Here is a 26,244-nt window from a genome sequence, read left to right on the forward strand (position 1 = left end):
ATACTTAACAGCATGAGAAATTATAACATGAGAAGTGAAAAACGTAGCACAAAAGATGTACGTACATTAAATGCCTTTTTCTATAGGCACAAAAAGGAGAGAAGTAAACAGTACATTTAGAGTTTTTGTTTTGTTTTACTTTGTTTTTTAATATGTTGTCTGGCCCAATTCACCAGCAGAGAAGAGAAAATGATTGTAGATAATGTTGTACCTCTAAAATAAAACTATGTATCTTGAATAATGTAATAAAATGGAATCTTTTGACTGGAATATAATAAGTGTAATAAGGAATCCTATTAGTTACGTGACATGTAACAGGAGTCTGGCTTTCCAAAAGAAGAAATGGGGGAGAAGTATTCCAGTGACACCTACTAGAATAGGGACTGGCAAACTTTTTCTGAAAAGGACCACATAATAAAATACTTTAGGCTTCGCAGGTCATACGTTCTCTGTAGGGACTACTCAAATCTGCCCTTGTACCATGAAAGCAGCCATAAGCAATACCTAAGCAAATGAGTGTGGCTGTGTTCCAATAAAAGTGCATTTACACAAACAGGCAGAAGACTGGGTTTAGCATGCAGGGCTTGAGTTGCCAACCCCAGCACTAGACTATAATCTCCATCAAGTCTGGAATCTTTCTGTTTTGTTCCACTGTGTACCAAAAGCATCTTGAACAATGCCTGGTAAATATCAGGCACACAATAAATATTTGTAGAATAAACTACTTTTTGAATAGAAAAACAAAAACGAACCACACTTCTATTAAATCTCTATTCCATTCCATTTAATTTGTATTTCTAGAAAAGAGAAAAAATCATTACCAGACGTGCTCAACTTAAGTGTAACTTGTACATAAAAGCTGATCTACAAATAAAGATTAAACTATGAGGTATGATTAGGCAAGTCTCCAAAAGAACCCACAATCTAACTCAACTACTATTTTATAGTTTTATAGGAACATAATAGTGAACCTTTGTATAAGAAAAAGAAAATGAGTTCCAAATTCAAAATGGAACATCTAGGAAAATTTTTCTCTCAGTATAATTGCAGAACAATATATTTCAGGAAGGCCCTTCTCACCATTTGTCCCACAGGGGCTGAGAAGCTCACCACAGCAGTTCTCACGGCAGACTCTAATAGCTGCCATAGCCAATTATAGGGACTACAGTGGCAGAAGGCCAAAGGTCAGGAAGAAACATTCATGTGAACAAATAAAAACCCTCTACAAACAAATAAGCATTTTCTAGACCAGGTAGGATAAAAATAACTTCATTTGTCGAACTAGTAATTTCGCCTTCAGTCACTCAACCAAATGGTCCCTTTGTCAACTAAGACATGGAAATTAATAAAGATCCTGAGCACTAGGGTAATTTCTTTTACCAGGAAAAAACATACTTACAGACTTTCTGATATCTTTTGAAGAGAGATCTATCAACTTCTTGTTCATGGACCACTCTTCATCAGATTCCATTATGGCTTTCTAAGAAATATCCATTTGTTAAGTGAAAAAAGAACATGTAAGTAAATAAAAAGAAACAGCTTATAACAAGTAATATAGCAAATTAATTATGGGGTATATTATACATAGTAAGCCATTATTCTGAACTGATTAAGGCTTTTAGTTATTTAAAATAAGAACTTCTTAAATTTTTGAAATCTTACCATTAGCCAAAGATAATATTCTTTTACTCATTCTTAACTGTTATACTAACTTGAGCTCAACTTTACATGGCAATCCTTAATAAGACCAATCAATTTAATATGAAACATAATTTGTGATCATAAAGTTCCATTTATAGCACTGCATTCATAGAGATTACTAAATAAATTCATTTAGTTTTACTGCTCTTCTTCCAAAAGGCAACAGAGTAATTTACATGTTTTCTAGCAACCAAGGTCTTGAACTATTTCTGCTCATATAATGAAGAAGTAAAAATACAGGAAAAAAAATGTGCTCTAGAAAATAAAGCCTATTTTTTAAAAGTCCAGGAAGCATAAGTCTATTTCAAGCAGATAGCAACTTAACTTTGATTGCATGCAACTCAATGCTTTTATTTACCCCTCACACATTTTATGTTTTTGATGTCAGAATTTATATAACTATAATTTGTCAATTTGTAATTTAAAAAATAAGAATTTTTTAAAATGTAGGGAGAAAATACATAGAAATGGAGTAAGACTTCCTATGCTAAGCAATGTGACTACTATTTATGGTAAAGAAATATTTAAAAGAAAGAAAAGCCAGAGTGATAAATATAAAATAACCTCATGTTTTTACAGTATTGTTATTAATGAAGCAAATTTTAAAGATAAAATAACATTCAAATAAGTTCTATTTAAATAGAACAGATACAGTGCTATTACCTATTTAAAAGGCACCAGTTGCTTGGCTTGACACTGTAATATAGCACATTCAATATAAAAGCATCTTCAATGATCACATAAAAGGTTTAGTGTAGGCCAGGTGCAGTGGCTCACGCCTATAATTCCAGCACTTTGGGAGGCTGAGGCGGGCAGATCACGAGGTCAAGAGATCGAGACCATCCTGGCCAACATGGTGAAACCCCATCTCTACTAAAAATACAAAAAATTAGCTGGGCGTAGTGGTGCATGCCTGTAGTCCCAACTACTCAGGAGGCTGAGACAGGAGAATTGCTTGAATCCAGGAGGCAGAAGTTGCAGTGAGCCAAGATCAGGCTCTGTCACCCAGGCTGGAGTGCAGTGGTGCCATCACAGCTTACTGCAACCTCCGCCTCCTGGGTTGAAGTGATTCTCCTGCCTCAGCCTCCTGAGTAGCTGGGACTACAGGTGCCCACCACCATGCCCAGTTAATTTTTGTATTTTTAGTGAAGATGGGGTTTTATCATGTTGGCCAGGCTGGTCTTGAAGTCCTGACCTCAGGTGATCTCCCCACCTTGGCCTTCCAAGTGAGGCACTGTGCCCGGCCTATTTCATTTCTTTATATAAATTTTGATGTAAGTATATAGGAGAAAAATATGTTAATAAAGACAACAATATTTGTAAAATAGCACTATAGCAAAAAATAAGTGTATATGCAAAGACTACTTATAAACACCTTAAAATAGATGGGAGCCATGTCACCCACTTCCTTGGGAAGAGGAATACATTCATAAACCATGTGATACTGTTTCTTCATGCTCATATTAGTTTCCAAAAAAATGCAGTCTAATCCTTTATCTTCAAACATCTTTACCAATGATTTTCTGAACATCTAAAAAAAAAAAAGAACTAGGTAAAGAAAACACTTAAAGGAGATTCAAAATCAAGCATATTCAAGATATTTGAAATATGAAAACTTTAATAAAAAAGTACAAATCCCTTTAAAATGAAAAATAAATAAAATAAACAGTAATATCTGAACTCTGCAATGTTATAGTTACTTTACTTTCTAAATCTACTATATAATTTCATATATTTAAGCAAGACTTTTAAAAAAACTGAAACCCACTATGTATATATTAGAAATAGTTTCAGTAAAATGAGAGAAAGAAGTGATAAAAATCAAATTTAGGTGGTAAAATATGCAGAACTGACAGAACAATCATAGGAAAATATCCATAAGCCAAAAGAGATACTCTGAGCAGATGGGCATCCTTAAACTCAGAAATACATGAGAATTCACTTCCAATTGTTTTCCTATGCTCATAGCATCTGCATTTGTTGGTTCCCTATGTCTGCTGACCCATCACTAATAACCTTGTATATTCAGGTAGTCCTCTATTTTCACATATAATGCAGTCCTATAAAGCATATGAAAGCCAAATACACTAAAGTTGAAAAGTAATAGGGTTTTCTCTTCCCAAGGAACTAAGTATTATTATACAACTATACACACAAATATAATCAGTTGTGGAGGTGTGTGTTTTGTGTGTGTGTGTGTGTGTGTGTGTGTGTGTGTGTGTGTGTGTATTTCACACTCCTAGGCCTAAAGGGCAGCTGTTTGTAGAGGGTGACTGAATAGAGCTGAGTGGTCCAGGATGTCTGCATGCATTCACATGACACCCCCTGTAGTACAGGATGGAGCTAGGGATCGAAAGAAAGGGGAACAGGCTGAAGGCTGGATGCCAGAGCCCAGCTCCGTCCACATCACCATGTCTTACTGTGAACCCCTCAAGCTGTCTAAGAATTCTGGATGAGCGCGGTGGCTCATGCCTGTAATCCCAGCACTTTGGGAGGCCGAGGTGGGTAGGTCACCTGAGATCAGGAGTTCAAGATCAAGTTGTCTAAGAATTTTAAACTAAAGTTGGCCTTGTAAGAGTTTATGAAAGTATATTTAAGTAGGAAGATAAAATGTATTTTATTTAGATTTGTCAGCTTGATTTATAACTTTTTAATATTTTATTTAAACATTTTGTTTTGAGGTAATTACAGATCACATGTAGTTATAAGAAATAATACAGAGAGATCCCATGTATGCTTTACTCAGTTTCCCCAAGGTAACATCTTATAAAACTATACTATAATATCACAACCAGGATATTGACATTGATATAGTCAACACTGAGAGCAATTCCAACACTGTCCATAAAGATCTTCTGTTACCCTTTTACTTTCTCTTCTCCTTTTATTTTTAGAGATGTGGTTATGCTATGTTGCCCAGGCTGAAGTACCAGTGGCTATTCACAGGTGTGATCATAGCACACTACAACCTCGTCGTACTCAGGCTCAAGCAGTCCTCCCCCATTAGCCACCTGAGTAGCTACTCAGGGACTAAAGGTGCACCACCATGGCCAGCTCCTGTTACCCTTTTACAGTCACAGTCATTCCACACCCTATCCAGTCCTCATTCCCTTCTTCTACCTTCCCCTTAATGTGTTCCTGATTTCTTTAATTCTGACATTTCAAGAATGTTACATGAATAGAACCATGTAATCTTTTGAGGTAGGCTTTTTTCTTTTTTTTTCTTCAACTGTTACTTTAAGTTCTAGGATACATGTGCAGGATGTGCATGTTTGTTACATAGGTAAACGTGTGCCATGGTGGTTTGCTGCACAGATCATCCCGTTACCTAGGTATTAAACCTAGCAACCATCAGTTATTCTTCCTGATGCTCTCCCTCCTCCCACCTCCCACCCACCGACAGGCTCCAGTGTGTGTTGTTCCCCACCACCATGTGTCCAGGTGTTCTCATCATTTAGCTCCCATTTATAAGAAAGACCATGTGGTGTGTGGTTTTCTGTTCTGGCATTAGCTTGCTAAGGATAATGGCTTCCAACTCCATCCATGTCCCTGCAAAGGACATGATCTCATTCCTTTTTATGGCTGCATAGTATTGCATGGTGTATATGTACCACATTTTTTTATCCAGTCTATCATTGATGGGCATTTAGGTTGATTCCATGTGTTTGCTATTGTGAATAGTGCTGCAATGAACACATGTGTGCATGTATCTTTATAACAGAATGAATTATATTCCTTTGGGTATATACCCAGTAATGGAATTGCTGGGTCAAATGGTATGCCTCTAGGTCTTTGAGGAATTGCCACACTGTTTTCCACAATGGTTGAACAAATTTACACTCCCACAAACAGTGTATAAGCGTTCCTTTTTCTCTACAACCTCACCAGCATCTGTTGTTTTTTGACTTTTTAATAGTAGCCATTAGGCTTTTTTCAATTAGCATATTCTCTGGAGATCCACCCAGGTTGTTTCATGCATCAACAATTCATTCTTTTTCATTGCTGGGAGTATTCCTGATATGGATGTGCCCAGTATGTTTAACCATACACCTTTACAGAATATCTGGGGTGTTTCCAGTTTTTAATTATTACAAATAAAGCTGCTATGAACATTTGTGCACAGGTTTTTGGGGAAATATAACTCCATTTCTCTGGAATAAATGCCAAGAAGTGCAAGAGTTGAGTCCTATGATAGTTGCATATTTCATATTTTTAAAAACTGCCAAACTGTTTTCCAAAGTGGTCATACTATTTTACATTTCTACCATTAACAGAAGAGCAATTCTGTTTCTCCATATCCTGGCCAGCATCTGGGGTTGTCAATGTGTTTTATTTGACATTTTGATAGGTCTAATTTATCACTGTGATTTTAATTTGCATTTTCCTAAGGGCCAATGATATTAAATATCATTTTTATATGCTTATTTGCCATCTATTAATATAGATCCTCTTCAGCAAAATGTTTCATGATGTTGTTTATCCCTTTTTTTTTTTTTTTTTTGAGATGGAGTCTCGCTCTGTCACCTAGGCTAGAGTGCAGTGGTGCGATCTCAACTCCCTGAAGACTCTGCCTCCCAGGTTCGGGTGATTCTCCCGCCTTGGCCCCCCCACAACAGCTGGGATTACAGGTGTGCACTACCATGCCTGGCTAATTTTTGTATTTTTAGTAGAGTCAAGGTTTCGCCATGTTGGCCAGGCTGGTCTCAAACTGCTGACCTGAGGTGATCCACCTGCCTCAGCCTCCCAAAGTCCTGAGATTACAGGCGTGAGGCACTGCGCTCAGCCAATTTCCTAATTGGATTGTTTTCACTGTTTTGACATTCTAGATATAAAAATATTCTTTATATATTCTAGATACAAATCCATTGCCAGGTATGTGGTTTGCAAATATTTTCTCCTAGTTTATAATTTGTCTTTTCATCTTCATATCAGAGTATTTTGCAGAACAAAAGTTTTTAATTTGACAAAGCTCAATTTATCAATTTTTGTTTCCATGGATTATACTTTTGGTGTCAAGTCAAAGAACTCTGTGTACCCAAGATCTTGACAATTTTATCTTGTTTTTCTCCCAAAAGTTTTATAGTTTTGTACCTTACATTGGAGTGCTGTGCTCCACTTTACACTGGAGGGCTGTGTGCCGTTTTGAGTTAATATTTATATAAGGTATGAGGTTTAAGCTGATACTCAAGTTTTTTGCTATGCATGTCCAATTGCTCCAGCACCATTCACTGAAAAGGCTATCCCTTTTACACTGAATTGCTTTTGCACCTTTGTCAAATTCAGTTGAGAATATTTGGTTGTGTCTATTTCTGGGTTGTCTATTTGGTTTAATTAATCTATATGTCTATCCCTCCACCAATATCACATAGTCTTGATTACTGTAGATATGTAATAATCTTGCTTATTATACATCTCCAGTAATCAGGTAAGGCTGATTCTTGCAACTGTATTCTTCTTGTTCAAAATTATTTTCACTATTTTGGTTCCTTTGCCTTTCCATATAAAGTTTAGAATAATTCTATCTATACCTACAAAAAAATCTTGCTGGCACTTAGATAAAAATTGTGTTAAACTAGTATATTAATTTGAGGAAGACTGTCATCTTTACTATGTTGACTCTCCTAATCCATAAACATGATATATCTACATTTATCTTATTTTTGAAATTTCTCTTAACAGTGTTTTGTAGTTTTTAGCATACAAAATATGGACACGTTTTGTTAGATTTGTACCTTCGTCCATCCTCAGTATTTGTGGATTCCATATTTACAAATTTGTCTTCCAAATCAATTCTCATGGCATTTTTGAGATCTTTTACAGACAACTGCAGAGTGGTGAAAAAGTTGAGTCATCCGACATACACCTTCCCAACCAAAGTTGAACAAAGCAATGGTCTGCCCTGTTTCAGTTCTCAATGTAAACAAGTGTGCTTTCCAGGGTCTATTTAGTGCCACATTTCCACATATTTGTGCTTTTTGTTTTTGATTTCTCTGTTCAAACTGGACCCTAAGCACATTACTGAAGTGCCATCTGGTGTTCCTTAGCACAACATTGTGATGTGATGTGCCTTATGGAGAGAACAAACTTTAGATAAGCTTCCTTCCGGCAGTCTTTAATCTTTGATTTTGAGAGTTTTTATCATAAATGAGTAGGAATTTCATCAAATGCTTTTTCTTCATTGATTGATATGAACATGGTGGATTATAATGATTTATTATCTAATATTGAACCAGTCTTTCATACTTGGTATAAGCCCTACTTGGACATAGTGTGTTATTGTTTTTATATATTGCCAAACTCTATTTGCTAATATTTTGTTGATAATTTTTACATCTCTATTCACATAGGATATTGAGTTGTAGCTATTTTATTTAACTGTCTTGTGGTATGAGGATAACACTAACTTACGGTATCAGGATAATACAAACTCCCAATATGAATGAATTGGAAAGTGTTCTTTCCTCAAGAGATTATATAAAATTGGTGTCAATTCTTTAAAAGTTTCATAAAATTCTCCAATGAAACCATCTGGGTTTGGAGATTTAATTTTTTAGAAGTTTTACATTATGAAGTCTACTTCCTTATTAGTTAAAAGATTGTTCAAATTGTCTGTTTCATATTGAGTGTGTTGTAACAGTTTGCATTTCAAGGAACTGGTCCATTACATCCAGAGTTGTTCATATTATTCCCTTATTATCTTTTTGATGACTGCAAAATCTGTACTAATACTGTTTTATTTCTGATATTGGTAACTTGTTTTTTCTCATTTTTTTTCCTTTGTTGGTCTTGCTGGAAGTTTATTAATTTATTTTTTTAAAAACCCCAACTTTTGTTTCATTGATTTTCTCTATGATTTTTCTGTTTTCAATTTCATTGATTTCTGCTCTTATCTTTATTATTTCTGTCCTTTTGCTTGCTTTGGATGTACTTTGCTCTTCTTTTTCTAGGTTCTTGAGGTGAAGGTTTTTCCTCTTTTCTATAAGTATTTAGTGCTATAAATTTCTCTCTCGGCACTCCCTTAGCTGTCCCTCATAAATCTTAACATGTTGTAATTTCATTGTAATTCAATTAGATTATTATTTCTTAAATTTCTCCTGAAACTTCTTTTTAAAGTTGTTGAATAATACACTATTGAAGTGTATTATTTAATTTAACATGTTGTAATTTCATTGTAATTCAATTAGATTATTATTTCTTAAATTTCTCCTGAAACTTCTTTTTAAAGTTGTTCCATAATACACTATTGAAGTGTATTATTTAATTTCCAAGTATTTGGGAATTTTTTGATTATCTTTCTGTTATTAATTTCTAGTTTGATTCCACTGTGATCAGAGAATGCACTCTGTATGATTTCAATTGTTTTAAATTTGCTGAGATTAGTTTTGTGGCAAGATAGAGTCTATGCTCTGAAAAAAATGTTTTCTAATATTGTTAAGTGGAGTGTTATACAAATATTGATTAAATCCTGCTGACTGATGGTTATAGCAGGCTGACTAATGGCCCCCAAGATATCCAGGTCCTATTCCCAAGAACCTAACAACATTACCATATATGGCATAAGAGACTTTTCAGATATAACTAAGAATCTTGATACAGGAAGATTATCCTGGATTGCCTGGGTATATCTTAAATGTAATTAAAAGTTTCCTTATAAGAGGGAGGCAGAGCAAGTTGTGACTGAAGAAGAGGAGAAGGCAATATGATGACAGAAGCAGAGACGGAAATGATGTAGCCACAAGCCAAGAAATGCTGGCAGCCCCTAGAAACTAGAAGAGGTAAGGAATAGATTCTCTTCCAGAGTCTCCAGAAGGAACCAGTCCAGTAGATACCTTGATTTTAGCCCCATAAGACTCACTTGGAATCTGATCTCCAGAACCATAAGAAAATACACTTCTACAGTTTTAAGGCACCATCTCTGTGGCAATTTGTTACAGCAACAATAGGAAACTAGTGCAATGGTGTTTTTAAGTTCTTTTATATCCTTGATGACTTTCAGTCTGGTTGTTCCACCAGTTGTTAAAATGAGGTGCTGAAGTCTCTAACCATAATTATGAATTTGCCTATTTCTCCTTTCAGTTCATTCAGTTTCTGTTTTACAGACTTTGTGCCTCAGTGTTGGTGTACACACATTTAGGACTGCTATGTCTTCTCGGTGGATTGACCCTTTCATCATTATGTAATGCCCCTCTCTTCTTCGGTAATTTCCTCTGCTCTAACGTCTACTTTATCTGGCATAAATGCTTTCTTTTCATTAATGGCTGCATAATATATATTTTTCCAACCTTTTATATTATTCTACTTGTGGTATTATTACATTTGAAGAGTTCTTGCAGACAGCATATAGTTATGAAATCTCCTCTACCAAACTATCTTTTAACTGATATACTGTTTATTGATATAGTAGAGATATTCTATTTTTATTTTTTTTGTTTTCTGTTTGTTCTTTCTATTGTTTTTCTGGTTCCTTTCTCTTGCCTTCCGATGGTTATTTGAACATTTTCAGAATTCCATTTTGATTTATTTAGTGTTTTTCAGTCTGTCAATTTGTATAGTTTTTAAAGTGATTCTAAGAGTTGCTTTAAGGCATTACATATACATACATATATATTTAATCACAGTCTACTGGGGCCATTTTACCAATGCAAATAAAATAGAGACCCCTTACTTCCCTTTATGTCCATTTACTCTCCCTCAGTTAGAATAAAATTGTCTTAAATACTTTCTCCACATACATTTGGAAACACATCAGACACCAGGTGCGGTGGCTCACGCTTGTAATTCCAGCACTTTGGGAGGCTGAGGTAGGCATATCACCTGAGGCCAGGAGTTCAAGACCAGCCTGGCCAACATGGTGAAACCCAGTCTACTAAAAATACAAAAATTAGCTGGGTGTGGTGGTGCATGCCTGTAGTGCCAGCTACTCAGGAAGCTGAGGCACAAGAATCGATTGAACCCAGGAGGCAGAGGTTGCAGTGAGCCAAAATCACGCCACTGCACTCCAGCCTGGGTAACAGAGTAAGACTCAATCTCAAAAAAAGTTTCTGGGGCTGCCAGCATTTCTTGGCTAGTGGCTGCATCATTTCAGTCTCTGCTTCTGTCATCATACTGGCTTCTCCTCTTCTTTAGTCAAAACTTCTTTCCTCCTTCCTGATTTTCCAGGATTTTTTCTTTTATCATTTCCTTTCTGTTTAAAGAACTTCCTTTAACTATTCTTCTAGGACAGCTCTGCTGATGACAATTTCTCTTTGTTTTCCATTACCTAACAATGTCTTGATTTTCTCCCATATTCCTGAAGGATATTTTCACTAGAAACAGAATTCTTGCTTGACAGTTATTTTCTTTCAGCACTTGAGAAATGTGCTACTTCCTTCTGGTCTCCATGGTTTCTAGTGAGAAATGCGCTGTCATTCAAATTGTACTTTCCTTACAGCACTTGTTGTATTTTCCTAATTGCTTGTTGAAGCATTTTTACGAGGGCTGCTTTAAAATCTTTGTCAGATAATTAGAACATCTCTGTTATCTTGGTGTTGGTGTCTATTGATTACCTTTTTCAACCTAGTTGAGATTGTCTTTATAAGTTATTTTCAATTGAAATCTGGATATTTTGAGAATTAAGAGACTGGATCTTGTTTAAATTTTTTGTTTTATATGGCTTTTCCTAATACTGCTCCATCAGAAGAAAGGGAGATACTACCTCATTACTGCCATATGGGGATAGAAGTTCAGGTTCCCAACTCGGCCTCTGTTGACACTCAAAAATGGGAGAGGCTACTCATTACTGCTGGGTAGCAGGTGGGAGTGCTAGGTTCCCATTAGGCTTCCACTGATACTATCCTGACTGGAAGGAGGAGGCATGGCTCGTGCCTCCTCCCCACATGGTTTCCACTCATCATTACCTTCACATGCCTAGTGTTACTTGCACAAAAAAAACTAAAAAACAGAATGAAATAGGAAAATATACAAATTTGCTATTATGACAGCTTTTCAGATTGTCTCTATTTTGTTACTTGTTACTATGCTTATAAACTTTTATTTATTAAGAAAACTTTATTGTTACTTACTTCAATATCTAGTCATAGAGTGAGAAGATAACCTTATATACTAGAAAAAACAAAATCGTTAACAGAGTGGAACTATGTATTTGTAACCCAAACTTTTTCAAAGAAGAAAAGATGTACATAAAAAGCAACAGCAATAACAATAATAAAAGTTTAAATAATCCGAAAATTACCTCACAAACATCTTTACTTCATGTTTGTTCATACTCCCTTTCTGGCTTAATTATTGGATGACTGTTCTAGATTTTATCTGGAGAATAGTGAAGAAGGCAGACTCAAAATGTCATGAATTATAAACAAAAACTGAAAAAATACTAAAATAGTGTTGCAAGAATGGTTCTGTATTATAAAATATATAAACCTCATACTAATAGCTCCAAGGAGGATACACACACATTTAAGTACTTCTCCTCTCTCTTTCCCTCTCTCTATACACACACATATATAGAATATTTTAATTTACAAATATGAGTTTAATGGAATAATTTGCGTTTGATCAACATCAAGCATGATGTTCTCCATACTCAATAACAAATACGCTATACAAAAATATTCATTTTTTAAAAAGTTATGTAACAACTAAATAATGGGGAAAGTTTTTGTAGTTCCATATCATAAGATAAATCAAAACTGTTTTATATTTAAGAGAGATGCAGAGTTCCCATGTTATGGAGATGACATGAAATTCCCATATTCCTAGTAAAAAAACACTTCATTCTTTGGGTAACCACTACTTTCCACATTTCTAACCTATCATTATTCATCTAATTGCCCATTCCTCATTTAGTCAATGCATCCAGACTACAATTTCTTATAATCAGTTTAAGGAAACTATACTGCACAATGTTGCAGGTCCTTTTGTATCACCACAGTATGAAAAAATCAAGTACATATGAATACATAATTTTGACATTCAAATTAAAGTACTTAAAACTATTAACGCTATATAGGACTGATTTTGGAATATTAACGCTATGATGTAGTCGTTTTTAAAATATAACATGTTTAAATATAAAGTTATCAAGTTATCCCAAGGTAAATGTTATGCAACAGAACAGAACACATTTATCTCTACTCTCTCCACAGAGTAACACCTCAAAAATGAATTTAAACAATTGTTTAAAAGGCAGAAGCTACTTGAACAAAGGAAATGAGAGAAAACACAATGACAAATCAGATCACTCCATAAGATCTGACTTAAATGCTAGAAAGTTGGTTCATACCTTGGGGAGGAGAAAGAAGGTTAGCAGGGATAGCAAAGAGGAAACCCATGCTACACTGCAGAACCTTCAAAAGGCTCAGGAGTTGGCAGCACCAAGTACTTATGGACGTGGAGGTGAAGGTGTGGCTAAAAACAGATGACTTAGAGGAAAGCCTATTAAAAAAGCAATCAACATGACAGATCCCCTCCTCATGATCAGAACACTACAGGATTCTCCTCTGGAAAAGGTAAAACAAGGTAGCTGGGCTAGAAAACCAGACACAGGTGAGAGTTTACAGTCTGAAAACAGGGGTGTTATCAGAAAGGTTACTTAATGTCCGTACATGTTCAACACTGCCACCTCCAGCCTTCTTCCCCCATTCAGCTCCCAGAACACTGGCAAGTGGGCTTAGATGACAGGAGGTTGAAAGAGTCTTTTTGAAGGTCTGGCTAGCCCCAAGAAAAAGACCTAAAGGTACTAACATTGGCTATTTCCTAATGAAATGGCCCCACATATCACTCCACATTGAAGTTCACTGTATGTAAGCATCAGTGACCCTCCTTTTTCCCCACCTACCAACTTGGGATATTTTTTAAATGGGCTTACAGTGTTTGCCTACAGCATATGTTCAAGAAAATTTGTAAAAATGATAACAATAAATTTAGAGGGAACCAAGTTTCATTACATATTAAACAAAACCAGCAATTTGGATCTTATTTGAAATCTGTGATTACTCAAGTATGCTATGCTAAAACATCTTCGCATTTTCTATTAAATAGGAAGTCTAAAATTACATTTAAATATTACTAGATACTGGTGATTTTTAAAACCACTTGAAAGAAGTGGCTCCTGCATTGCAACATTTGGCAACAACATTTTGTGCTAAGTCAAATCTTTTTTTAATATATCCAATAAAAGAGGTGAATAATCAAAGATACTCACTAGGGTAGAATTAATTTGAGTTGTACATATTTGAAAGTAAAATAACAACAACAACAACAGCAACAGCAAACTGTACCTCATCAAGCTAGGATTCAAATATTTCATTAGTTCACTAGCCTACAATAATTGATAACTTCTAACAATTATTTTCCTTTCTCACACAAAAGGAGCTACAACACCATTATTTGCATAAAACAATTTGGCTTTTCCTCTCTTTCGCAGTTTTCCATAGTACACTTGGTTTCCAAACTCTGCTAAACTATAATGTAAACTATACTAGAAATACACCACATATTTTGGCAGAATTAATGAATTACTTGATCTCTTCATTTCTTACAGCACCTAAAATATTATATTTGTGTACTCAATATCTGTTAAATTGAATAAAAATCTTCATCCACTTAAACTGTTTTCATTAAGCAGCTTGATTTCTTATAGAAATATAAAACATATACACATTGTATTCCTATAATTACTTAAAATATTTTTGGCACTGCATTTTGCTCTAAATTAAATCAGTTTTATATGTATAAATTTTTAAAAGGCTTCCTGGAAATGTTCTAAAATAATTCTAAGAACTGAATTTCCATACTTTCCACCTTAAATTACCTACTGGCACTGGCATCCACTACTAGGAAAACGCAAACTTTCACATCAAAAAGACATATTCTTACTTTTGCTTGGTTGCAGATGCAATAAAACAATCTACCCTTTAAACTTTGACAGCAAAAACTTTAAAATTACAAGGTATACAAGACTAAATTTCATTAAATGCCATCAAAACATCTCTTCTTTTGACATACTTATCAGCATGCTGCAAAGACTAGTCATCTCTTGTGCAGTGCTAACTTACAATTTTCACATTTTCTAATTAAGGCTCCCTGTAGCCCCTATTCAGTTGTCTGGCATTAAAAAAATAAAGAGTTTTCTTCCTTTCTTTCCTGGTCATTATTAGGTCTTGAAATAATTCAGCAACAATTTCACCCATGTTGTGCCTTTCACTCTCTTAAAGCATCAGCCACAAAAACAAATCCCTGAATCCAAAAGCTGGGCCAGATTATGAAGGAAAAAGAGCAGAAATTAAAGCTAGTAACAAAATCACCACAAAAACACAGCAGCAGAGAAGACCAATTCTATCACAGGAAAATACGGCAACCGCTAAATATAAAACCTCTGACTCCTCAAATTTCTTTTCATTATCTGAAAACGTCTTTCCTTTCAGCTGCAATTTATTGGCTTACTGTGGTAAGAATGATTCTTTCATGCTACAAAAGAAGTGTTGAAATCTTAGACTGATTTTTTTAAGTAAAAATAATTATTACTTTGTCACAGTTTATTTCGTAGATAAAAGGTCTCAAAATCTGGAGTACACAAGGGAAATAAAATGATGGAAACATCATGATCCACAGATATATACAACTATGAAAACACACGTGTTTAAGTTTAGAAACTAAAATCATTAAATGAAGTTATACCTATTGGAATTTATCACAATAATTTACAAAAATTGCTCATGAGTTTTAAAATGATAATGAACATTTATTATGCTGACCTGGATCTCCTCCCAGATGTCTTCATCCAACAAAGTAGCTGCTCTATGGTGCTGCAAAGGGACTATCAGGCAGTGCCCCTCAGTAAGAGACCGTACGTTGGGTAAACATAAATAAACCTATAAGAGAGAAATACAAAAGGTGAAATGTTATTGTTATTTATATGTTATATATTTATATGTTAATGCTATTTATTCTCAGTTGTAACAGATGAGCCCCTAGTAGAAAAAAATGATGAATATTTAATGAAGAATACTTAAGAATTGCTTTTGCAAATGTTAATATTTTTAAAGATATTTAGTATTTTTAAAGGCATCAGGATAGCTTTTAATAAACTGAAAATTTAGAGCACAGATCTCAATTTTCACTATTTTACATCAGACAACGATTAAGATTAGGCAAAGAAGAGCAGAATGAATGACACAATATCCTTAATCTGAAGGAGCTAGATACTTTGACAACTCTTGAAACAACACAATTTTCACAAAAACAAAAAGACACATGGCCTGGTAACGGTAGTCTAACTGATGCCTGTTTATCAGGCCTTCCTTCTCTGATTAGCTGAGAAAAGAGAATTAACTCAGCTAAGACGAAGAGGAAATGACCTCGGAATGGCTTTACCACTGTGTATTTACATACATGTATTACCTAAAAACTGGTGCTAATTTTCCATTATATACAAACTGTCTTAAAAAAAAAAGGTTAATCGGTATATATACAGAGAACAAAAGCATTACAAAGGGCTTGATCTTATTCTTATTTCTGTTATATTTTGCTGGGTTTTAGCTAGAAATATTTTGCATGGCAGACATTATTTATTTAATAGAATAACTCAAATGTTTAAAACTTTGCTGACAAACAACAAAGTAGGAGTGGACATGGATATCTACCTAAAATTACAGTAAAATCACAAACATGTTCATGAAAAAAAGAAATAAAGATTAAGGGTCATGGGTATGTCTATAGACAACTTACAAGATTTAGAAAATGAAATATTTAAAGAAATCACTGAATTTTCTACATAATCACTGAGATAAAGAGCCAGGTCCAAGTGTCAATGACAGGTCAAATAAGTTGTAATAAAATTCATTTTTAAAAGCATTATAAACATAAAAATCCCCTAAAATTGGTATCAAAAGCAGTTTTTCCAAATAGATACATAAAAGAGAAAAGAAAATTCATAAATTAATACCTAAATAAATTAGAACACACAAAAAAGCAATACTTTCTTTTATTTGACAGAGAAAGCAGAGCTACTGATTGGCTGATCAATAATTACTGAGGGCCAATTACATGCTGGGCAGTGTTCTACATGCTAGGGAATCAACAATGTGCAGGGACACAAATCCCTACCCATAAGGAGCTTATGGGGTGCTACAGATTGAATGTCTGTGTGCCTCCAAAATATACACATTAAATCTTAACACCCAAGGTGATAATATTTGGAGGTAGGGGACTTCGGGAGGTGATTAGATCATGAGGACAGAGCCCTTATGAATGGGATTAATTATCTTATAAAAGAAGCCCCAGGGAATGTTCTTGCCACTTCCACCATGTAACGACACACCAATAAGATGACTGTCTGTGAACCAGGATGTGGGACCTCACACTGAATCTGCTAGCACCGATCTTGGACTTCCCAGCCTCCAGAACTAGCTTCAATAAATTTCTGTTGCTGATAAGCCATCCAGTCTACGGTATTTTTTATAGTAGCCCGAACTAAGACATCAAAGAAGAAATACAAATAAACAATGTAAATGTAAAGTAAAATGCACAATATGTCAGATGGTGATAAGGGGTACTAAAAAAAATAAAGCAGAAAAAGGTATAGATAGTGTCTAGGGAGAAGTTAGGAAGCCTCCCTTTAAAGTTACCTTCTAGGGTAACATTTGAGAAGATATGTGAAGGAAGGAAGGGTAGACACAAGAAGAAACTCCCAGGCAAAAGGAAAAGCATGTGAGGAGGATGCATACCAAGTGTGCTCTCCAGCTTGTCAGACAGCCAGTGTGGCTAAGCTGAGATGATGAGAGGAAGGCTGACAGACAGTGAGGTGACAGGAAGAATTGGGCCTGTAGGCCTGCCTCATAGGCGACAATAAGGATTCCAGCTTTGGTCTGAAAGCCAGATCTGACTAATGTTGACTTAAAGTCAAAAAGATCACTTGCTACTGTATAGAGAAAGGGCAAAGGAAAGAGGCAGAAAGACCCATTAGGAAACTATTACAGAAGTCCAGTAATAAATGATGATGACTTGAACCAGGGTGGTAGAAATAAAGATTATGAAATGTGGTCAGAACATGAATATATTCTGAAATATAGCCAACAGAATTTAGAAATGGACAGTAAGGAGTGAGGGAAAGTAAAGGACTCAATATTACTCCAAGGTCTAATGCAAGCAACTGGAGGATGAAAGTGACATTTACTAAAAAGAGGAAGACTATGGGAGGGTTAGTGTTAGCTAAAGGTAAAGGTGGAGACGGGTATTAGACCTTCACCTAAGTTTCAGATGTTTACTAGATATCCAAGTGGAAAAGTAGGTTGGATACATGAACCTAGAATTCTAGGAGATATTTGGGTTAAAATGTAAATTTGCTAGTGGTCTAAAAACAGTAGTCATGAAATGAACAGAACATTTCAGAGAAAGATATCTCTGTTATAGCATTTTAAGAGAGTGTAAGCAAAAATTCTAAAAGTCTTCTATAGTAGATTGCATAAAGGCATCCAGTTATTTACTACTCCATATACTGAAACCCTTCACAATGTTACTCTGTAGCTCCTCCCATCAAGAGATGGGTGCAAACTGGCCTTATGACTCATAAGGGCCACAGAATATGGTAGAAATGATGATGGTCAGTTCCAAGACTATGCCTCAAGAGGCCTTGTGTACTTCTGCTAATTCTGTTGGAACAAGCCTAGCTCCCATGTGAAGAAGCCTATGCTAGCCTACTGGAAGATAACAGACCATACAAAACAGAATGATTTAAATGCTGTCTTAAGCCACTAAATTTTGGTGTAGTTCATTTATGTATGAATGCTAGTATATCTCCTCTTCCCCCACCTAAAGGTATAAATGGAAGACTAGATAATTCTCAGGTCTGATGTATAAAGTCTTTACACTCCTGAGGTCTGAGATCCAGTAAGGGTAGTACCCACTTAAGACAGCTTATAGTTCCCAGAATGAACCATGTGGTTGTAAACCTCAGTGTCTTTGCTTGTATTGTCCTGTATTTCCTAAATACTGAAATGTATCCTATTCCACCATTAAAATGTAGCACAAGACATACTTCTTCCAGAAAGCCTTCCTTGATAACTCCACGGTAACCTAAATATTCCTCTTTCGTGTTCCCACGAAATGCAAGAGCATTTATATCACTGCATTAAAACTGATCTGGTTATGTTTGCCTGCTCCCCATAAAGCTGTAAGCAACTTGAGGAGGTTTTAGGCATATTTATATTTCTAGTACCTAGTACTAGAGGCTGACAAACACTAGATACTCAGTAAATACCTGGTAAATGAATGAATTACCAAGCAGTTTTTTGTTTCTTTTTCTAAATCAAATTAAAAATAGATGACTAGAATCAGGCAAAAATATTAAAGAATGAACATAACTCTTATTTAAGTTATAACCATGTTGTTTACATGAAAGTTGGGAAAGGAACTTAGAAAAATAAATATAATTAGTTAAGATGGATTTTTAAAAATTATTTAATTTTGAATGGGATTTTGACATTTATCTTTTTGTTAAGTATAAAGGAAAAGAGAAGAAAAAGAAGATAAGAAAATAAATCAAAAGAAGCCAGAATGGACACTGATGTAACCACCTCAACAACCTAAAGATATTAAAGACTAGGGGTATGTGTATGTATACAATAAACAACATAAATATGTACATGTATGTTTCCCAAACTATTCGTTCCTGAAACTAGCATTCATTCATTCATTCAACTTCTTCTACTTTTCTCACTGACTCCACTCCTGCCTTCTTTCTGCTCCACCAATGCTAAGCTCATTTCCTCCTCAGGGCTTTTCACTGACAGTCCTTCCTGAAACATTATTCATTCCTATCTTCAGGTTACTTGTCCTTCCCATTTTATGCATCTTTACTAAAGTTCCTCAGAGAAGCCTTCCAGACTACCTTGTGAAAAAAATACCCCCATCACTTTCTCCCATTTCCTCACTTTACTTGCTTTATGACAATTAATTCTTTCAAATCAGGGCAATTATTACTTTATTTACTGCCTTATTTCACTAGTCATAAGGTCTAAAAGTCTGAGTCTCAACTTTTCCCCAGTGACTAATTAGGGTATGGCAGATATTAGGTATACAAAAATTATTTATTCAATGTAAGAATTAAATCAATAAGTATTTATTGAAATGAATTACTATTATGTACTACAACCAGGGCTAGATGCTTTGTATACAATGGAGAACAAAAGTTATCTCTGTCTTCACGGAGCTTAAAAATTATTAGGGGAAAGACCCAATAAACAAGTAAAACAGACAAAATAATAAACTTATTCAAGTTATTCTATGAAGAAACAAAAAAAGTTCTATGAGAATGTAAGCAAAGGATAATAAATACTTCTTACCTTAACACCTATTGCAACAATAAGATGCTTGGGAAATTGAGAGCTGTCAAAACAATACAGACATTTTTCCATTTGTGCAGCAAGACTCCGATGCTCAGCAATAGCTTTTTTCCTTTGGTTCTCTTCCTCTTCACCAAGACGTTCTCTCTCAGCTGCTTTGGAGACAAACATGTCATCCAGGGTGTAATAGTCTCCATCTGTTTTTCCCATAAACTGAAAAACCAAAATAACAGTAATAGAGAGTAGAAGGTAGTGATTAAGATTTTACTGCACTGTGGTATCCTAAATCTGTATCTGTAAGTTCTATGATAAAACTAATACATTTAAAAGAAAAGAAAAAACATGATTAATATTTGTTTGATCTTCTAGAGTCAATCTATCATCATCATCACCACAGCTAAAGTTTACTGAATATTTACTATATACAATTCTATATGACTTGTTCATGTTTTATACTCCTATGTGGTGGGGACCATTAGCATTTTCATTTTCAACTAATAGATGAGGAAACTGAATCACAGAGAGGTTTAAATTGTAACTTTAAAAATTCACATATACACTATATAGAATGTGGAACTTTTTTTTTTTTTTTAACCACATCTCCAGGTACCTTCTCCATATCTCTCCCAACATGAACTATGGACAGATTGATGCTTTCAAAATACAAAAACACAAATTTTATTTTCTTATTTTATGTACCTCCTTAGGTAGTTATGAGAGTTCTATACTGTGTACAGAATGAAGTTCAAACTCTTGAACTTGAAAGCCAACTAAATCATACATACATAAAGTCATAATGGTTTAAAGCTTAGATTCCACAGTCAAAATGACCATGGTAAAGTTCTATCTCCTGTGTGTATAACCTTGAACATATTATTTAATTTCTCTGTGCTCTCTCTATGCCTTATTTCCTCATTTTACAATGGTTGTAACAATACTGCCTGCGTATCCCTTATCCAAATGCTTGGGACCAGAAGAGTTTTAGATTTCCAATTTTTTCCAATTTTGGAATATTTGCATATATATAGTATCATGGGGATGGGATGCAAGTCTAAAATGAAGTTCATTTATGTTTCCTATGTACCTTAAATGCATAGCCCTAAGGTAACTGTATATAATATTTTTAATAATTTTGTGCATGAAACAAAGTTTATGTATATTGAACTATCAGAAGGCAAAGATGTCATTATCTCAGCCACCCATAAAGAATTACAGCACATTTACACTTATTTATACCTGCTGCATTGGCACATGACTGCAGTTATTCTGTCCTTGGCATCCTTATTTCCTGACAGGCTGTCTCATCAGTTGTAGTAAGTGTCTTCCTGGGTCAACCCATGAGGTTTAATTCTACTCATTTTTCAATACTATGGTAAGAATTAGCTGTCATTTCCATCAAAGAAACTTCCTCCATCTTGCAAGCCCCTCCAATGTGTACTTGTACTGCTGTCAGTCTCAGGATGACTACACTGTATCACACTCATTAACTTGTCTTTTTTTTCCATTACACTGCATTCTACTAAGTGTAATATAAGTACTAAAGTACTAAGTGTAATGTAAATTACTTAGTGTAATGGAAGTATTAAAGTACTAAGTATTAAAAACAAAACAGGCCAGGCGCGGTGGCTCACACCTGTAATCCCTGCACTTTGGGCAGCCAAGGCAGGCGGATCACGAGGTCCAGGAGTTTGAGACCAGCCTGACCAACATGGTGAAACCCCGTCTTTACTAAAAATACAAAAGTAGCCGGGCGTGGTGGTCCATGCCTATAATCCCAGCTACTCAGGAGGCTGAGACAGGAGAATCGCTTGAACCAGGGAGATGGAGGTTGCAGTGAGCCAAGATAGCGCCACTGCACTCTAGACTGGGCGACAAGAGCGAAACTCCGTCTCAAAAAAAAAAAAAACAAACAAAAGCAACAACAACAACAACAAAAAACAAAACTACATGTTATCATCAAACACAAAGCAATAAAAAGATGCTTGGATGTTAGCATTTTAAATGATTTGAAGATGGAGCAGTTCTATTCATGTCAGACAAAGCAGATTTCATAGCATATAGTATTATGAATGATAAAAGGTCACCTGATAAAGGAATCATAACATCAAGAGGACACAACATTCTGTAGATTATGTAAGTTGAAAAGAAAAATTTTAAGAGGACATAACAATCCTAAAGTTTATATACCTAATAACAGAATTTCAAAATGCATAACAAAAAACTTGATAGAACTGCCAAAGAAACAGACAAATCCCAACTGTAATCACAGATTTTAAATACCTCACTCTCTATAATTGGTAGCACAAACAGAAAAGCAATAGCTACGTCGAAGACTTGAACACACTATCAACCAACTTGACTTAATTGACATTAATAGAAATTCCACCCAACAGCGCAAAATATACGTTCTTCTCAATTGTACATGGAATATCAACCAAGCTAGATGACATTCTGGGTCATAGCACAAGTCTCAATAAATTTAAAAGGATTCTAGTAACTTAAAGTATGTTCTCTGAACACAATGGAATTAAAAATCAGTAACAGAAATATTTTTGGAAAAATATTTTTGGAAAACTGCCACATACCTGGTATTGTGCACTTCTAAATGACCCATGAATCAACAACAACAACAAAAAAAGACAATGAGAAATGACTTTAAACAGCAATAAAACAAAAATACAACATATCAGAATTTGTGGTATGCTGCTAAAGCATAATTTAGAGGGAAAATTATAGCATTAAACATCTGTATTAAAAGACAAGAAAGGTCTCAAATCAATGATGCCAACTGCCACCTTAAGAAACTAGAAAAAGAAAAAATAAAACCCAATGTAAATAGAAGAAAATTTATTTAACACCATTACTGAAAGAATCAGGTAAAAAGATTATTACCAAGGCATTTCTTAGAGCACACTGACTTCCTTGTTTCTACTAGCAATTTATTTTTTTCTTCCACAATATTCTACATATTAGTCCTTGTATACTTCTTGACTTTTCCAGGTTTGTCTATTTATGTAAACTGCATTGCCTTACAAATTATTATTTTAAATTTATTTTAACTTTATATCTTCATCTAAACCATAATTCATTACATTCTAAAAAATATCAGAACTGGTCACTAATCATTTTCATGAAATAGTGTCCAACTACATGCCAGATAGTAATTCTAATCCAAATATTTCTGCAACACAGAAATTTTTATTTTCACTTGACAGATTAAAAACTGAGGCTAGGCCAGGCACAGTGGCTCATGCCTGTAATCCCAGCATTTTGGGAGGTGGAGGTGGGCGGATCACCTGAGGTTGGGAGTTTGAGACCAACCTGACCAACATGGAGAAACCCTGTCTCTACTAAAAATACAAAAATTAGCCAGGCGTGGTGGCACATGCCTGTAATCCCAGCTACTCAGGAGGCTGAGGCAGGAGAATTGCTTGAACCCAGGAGGCGGAGGTTGCTGTGGGCCGAAATCACGCCATTGCACTCCAGCCTGGGCAACAAGAGTGAAACTGCGTCTCAAACAACAAAACAAAAACAAAAACAAAAACAAAAACAAAAAACCGAGACTAACAGAAACTAAGTAACTTAACCAAAATCACACAGCTATTAAAGGACAGAACCAGGAATCAAAACTGGTTGGTCTGAATACAAAACTGCAGTGTCTGGCATATAAGTGAGGCTTTTTCCCTTAAGAAATCAATGTTTGAAACACAGAAAGGGCATACTGTGAATATAGTCTATGAAGCAGAATAAAGAGCTAGAAGAAAACTTATTTCATCTAGAATAAACATACCAAATCAAGTTAAGGTACTTAACAGTGGGAACGCAGATATCTAGGTAGGTATTTATCTTATCCAAAATATATTAACAGGAGCACAATACACATTTATACATACATAATTGTGCCTTCATATGATATAGCCCATTGTGTTTTTGGAAAGTTCATAAATGATCACAGAAAATATTCAATTCAAATCAAATGTTTTATACATGGAAGATGGTATTTCTACTCTTAAATCTAGTTTTCATGGATGTTGCCAAACCTCTCTGATTTATTTGTAGTGTTTGAATTGAAAATGATACAGTCTTGCCAATTAAGTCTGACTGATTCTTCAATATAACTGAAATATGGTCCCTACTGATCCAGGAACAATTAATTCCCTCCTCCTGCAGCCTCAAATTATTTGCATTTTTACTCATTATCTTTTCTTTAGGCTTTGATACAAATATTTTTAATTTATCAATCATATATACCTCTTCTATGACCTCCAGCCTACCGTATTCTCATTATTTGAGAGTAACAATCAACATTTTTTAACAGATAGACTGGTAAAAGATAGTGGAGAATGTACTAAGTGTAAGATGGAAAAAGTGAACAAAACTGCTGGATGAAAGGAGATAAAGAAAAGAGGAGCATGAAAATATGCCTCTTCATCATTTAGACAGAACCCTTTAAAAAGCTGATTATATTATACAAAATCAATTTGGCGCACCATAAACACAAACTAAATGACAGTGAGTTAGCCATTTCACACTCACTAGGATGGCTACAATCAAATAGACAGATAATAACAAGTGTTGTCAAGGATGTGGTAAAATAAGAACCCTCACACACTGCTGATGGGAATGTAAGATAGTGCAGCTGCTTTGGAAAACAGTCTGGTAGTTCCTCAAACATTTCAATATAGATTAATTAATAAAATATTAAACATATGGCTTACCACAGGGGTGCCCAATCTTTTGGCTTCCCTGGGCCACATTGGAAGAAGAACCATCTTGGGCCCCACATAAAATACACTAACACTACTGATAACTGATGAGCTAAAAAAAAAAAAAAAAATCACAAAAAGCTCGTAATATTTGAAGAAAGTTTACAAATTTGTGTTGGGGTGCATTCAAAGTTGTCCTGGGCCACATGTGGCCCACAAGCCATGGGTTGGACAAGGTTGAGTTACCACATGACCAAGAAACTCCACAATGTAGTATTATTTAGCCATAAAAAGAATGAAGTACTGATACTTGTTACAACATGGATGATCTATAAAAACATTATGCTAAGTGAAAAAAGTCAGTCATTTAAAAAAACACTATTCTATGATTCCATTCATATGAAATGTCGAGAACAGGGAAATCTATAGACAAAATAGATTAGTAGCTGCTTAGGGCTTAAGGAGGAAGAGTTGAGAGGATTAGCTAATTTTAATCTGTATTTTTTCACTGTAATCAACTTTAACCATGAGAGTAACAGCTTTTAGTCAATTCTGTGAGTCTTTCCAGTAAAATATTGAACCCAAGAGTGGCCTTAGGGACCTCTGAACCTGCAGCTGGTGTCAGGAGTAAAGCTGGTCTTGAGGACTCCCCAACATCATATTTGGCTGGATGGTCAGGGACTTAGAACACAATTAGAGAATTGATGACAAGGAGGTCTGGGAAAGAGTTATGCAAACAGATACAGAGTACAAGGATACTTATCTCCCACATGACAGTACTTATGTCATTAGCTACTCCTATCATCGTCTCAAAGCTTGTGAACAAAACAGCCATGCACAGATAAAAGTTACACATGAGCTTACCATCATGAGTTTGGACTCACCAAAGCCAACTGGGCTACATACACTGCTGAATACCCAGTCTGCCAACAACAGAGACCAACACTGAGCCCGATAGGATAACTCTCCCTCTAGCAGCAAGGTGAATACAACAGGCCGCTTCCATCCTGGAAGGGGCAGTGCTTTCTTCTTACTGGAATAGATACTTTGGATATGGATTTGCCTTCCTGGCATGCCATGCTTCTGCCAAAATCCCCATCATTCTGAAGTAGATGTCTGGACAGAACAGTGAACTGTCCTTTTGAAGATGTAATTACAAGTACCAGCCAGGTGACTATCCCTTGTAGGGCTGGGCTATGTCTTCCAGGATATAGTATATGCTCTAAGTCAGCATCCAAACAATGATGATCCACAACTAGGATCCACAGGTCTGGGAATCTTAGGGAAAAAACAGGAGTGACTATTACCCTTTGTGATAAACTAGCAAAATTTTTGCTTCCCATTCCTGTGACTTTAGACTCTACCGGTCTAGAGGTTTTAGTTCGAAAAGGAGAAATACAGGGCCAGGCACAGTGGTTCACACCTGTAATCCCAGCACTTTGGGAGGCCAAGGAAGGAGGCAGGAAGACTCCTTGAACCCAGGAGTTCAAGACCAG

The 26,244-nt window shown here is 35.3% G+C and overlaps 1 protein-coding gene across 3 annotated transcripts in view; it reads right to left on the reverse strand.

The window, feature by feature from the left end:
* CWF19L2 (CWF19 like cell cycle control factor 2) overlaps positions 1-26,244 on the reverse strand; it is a 131,466-nt gene that overhangs the window by 7,122 nt on the left and 98,100 nt on the right. For 2 of the 3 annotated variants that reach the window (NM_152434.3, XM_047426419.1), the window contains 4 exons: positions 20,043-20,255; positions 15,456-15,572; positions 3,077-3,232; positions 1,400-1,480 (listed from right to left, as the gene is read on the reverse strand). In NM_152434.3, the coding sequence (NP_689647.2) occupies positions 1,400-1,480; positions 3,077-3,232; positions 15,456-15,572; positions 20,043-20,255 (567 nt within the window). Of the gene's footprint in view, positions 1-1,399; positions 1,481-3,076; positions 3,233-11,932; positions 12,010-15,455; positions 15,573-20,042; positions 20,256-26,244 lie in introns of those variants that run through there. The other variant, XR_007062452.1, reaches the window with a different exon arrangement.

Source organism: Homo sapiens, chromosome 11 (genome assembly GCF_000001405.40).
Source record: "Homo sapiens chromosome 11, GRCh38.p14 Primary Assembly".
NCBI classification, from domain to species: Eukaryota; Metazoa; Chordata; class Mammalia; order Primates; family Hominidae; genus Homo; species Homo sapiens.